Here is a 1,803-nt window from a genome sequence, read left to right on the forward strand (position 1 = left end):
CAGAATATACATTCTTCTCAGCACCACATAACACTTATTCTAAAACTGACCACATAATTGGATGTAAAACACTCCTCAGCAAACGTAAAAGAACAGAAATCATAACAAACAGTCTCTCAGACCAAAGTGTAATCAAATTAGAAATCAGGATTAAGAACCTCCCTCAAAACTGCCCAACTACATGGAAACTGAACAACCTGCTCCTGAATGACGACTGGGTAAATAACGAAATTAAGGCAGAAATAAATAAGTTCATTGAAAACAATGAGAACAAGGACACAGCATGCTGGAATCTCTGGGACACACCTGAAGCCATGTTTAGAGGGAAATTTGTAGCACTAAATGCCCACAGGGGAAAGCAGGAAACATCTAAAATCGATACCCTGACATCACAATTAAAAGAACTAGAGGAGCAGGAGCAAACAAATTCAAAAACTAGAAGACAAGAAATAATTAAGATCAGAGCAGAATTGAAGGAGATAGAGACATGAAAATCCCTTCAAAAAATTAATGAATCTAAGAGCTGGTTTTTTTGAAAAGATTAAAAAATAGATCAACCACTAGCCAGACTAATAAAGAAGAAAAGAGAGAAGAATCAAACAGACACAATGAAAAATGACAAAGGGGATATCACCACTGATCCCACAGAAATACAAATTACCATCAGAGAATACTGTAAACACCTCACACAAATAAACTAGAAAATCTAGAAGAAATGAATAAATTCCTGGACACATACACCCTCGCAAGACTAAACCAGGAAGAAGTCGAATCCTTGAATAGACCAATAACAGGTTTTGAAATTGAGAAAGGAATTAATAGCCTACCAACCAAAATAAGCACAGGACCAGACAGATTCACAGCCAAATTCTACCAGAGGTATAAAGAGGAGCTGGTACCATTCCTTCTGAAACTATTCCAAACAATAAAAAAGAGGGACTCCTCCCTAACTCATTTTATGACAAAAACCACGTGATTATCTCAATAGATGCAGAAAAGGCCTTCAATAAAATTCAACACCTGTTCATGCTAAAAACTCTCAATAAACTAGGTATTGATGGAACATATCTCAAAACAATAATAGTTATTTATGACAAACCCACAGCCAATATCATAATGGGCAAAAGCTGAAAGCATTCCCTTTGAAAACCAGCACTAGACAGGGATGCCCTCTCTTACCACTCCTATTCAACATAGTATTGGAAGTTCTAGCCAGGACAATCAGGCAAGGCAAAGAAATAAAGGGTATTCAGATAGGAAGAGAGGAAGTCAAATTGTCTCGGTTTGCAGATGACATGATTGTATATTTAGAAAACCCCATCATCTCAGCCCCAAATCTCCTTAAGCTGATAAGCAACTTCAGCAAAGTCTCAGGATACAAAATCAGTGTGCAAAAATCACAGGCATTCCTATACAACAATAATAGACAAACAGAGAGCCAAATCATGAGTGAATTCCCATTCACCATTGCTACAAAAGGGAATTAAGTACCTAGGAATACAACTTACAAGGGATGTGAAGGACTTCTTCAGGAGAACTACAAACCACTGCTCAAGAAATAAGAGAGGACAAAAACAAATGGAAAAACATTTTATGCTCATGGATAGGAAGAATCAGTATCTTGAAAATGGCCATAGCGCCCAAAGTAATTTATAGATTCAATGCTATTCCCATCAAGCAACTGTTGACTTTCTTCACAGAATTAGAAAAAAAACTACTTTAAATTTTATATGGAACCAAAAAAGAGCCTGTATAGACAAGACAATTCTAAGCAAAAAGAACAAAGCTGGAGGCATCGCACTA

The sequence above is a fragment of the Homo sapiens genome, chromosome 12 (assembly GCF_000001405.40).
Source record: "Homo sapiens chromosome 12, GRCh38.p14 Primary Assembly".
NCBI lineage: Eukaryota > Metazoa > Chordata > Mammalia > Primates > Hominidae > Homo > Homo sapiens.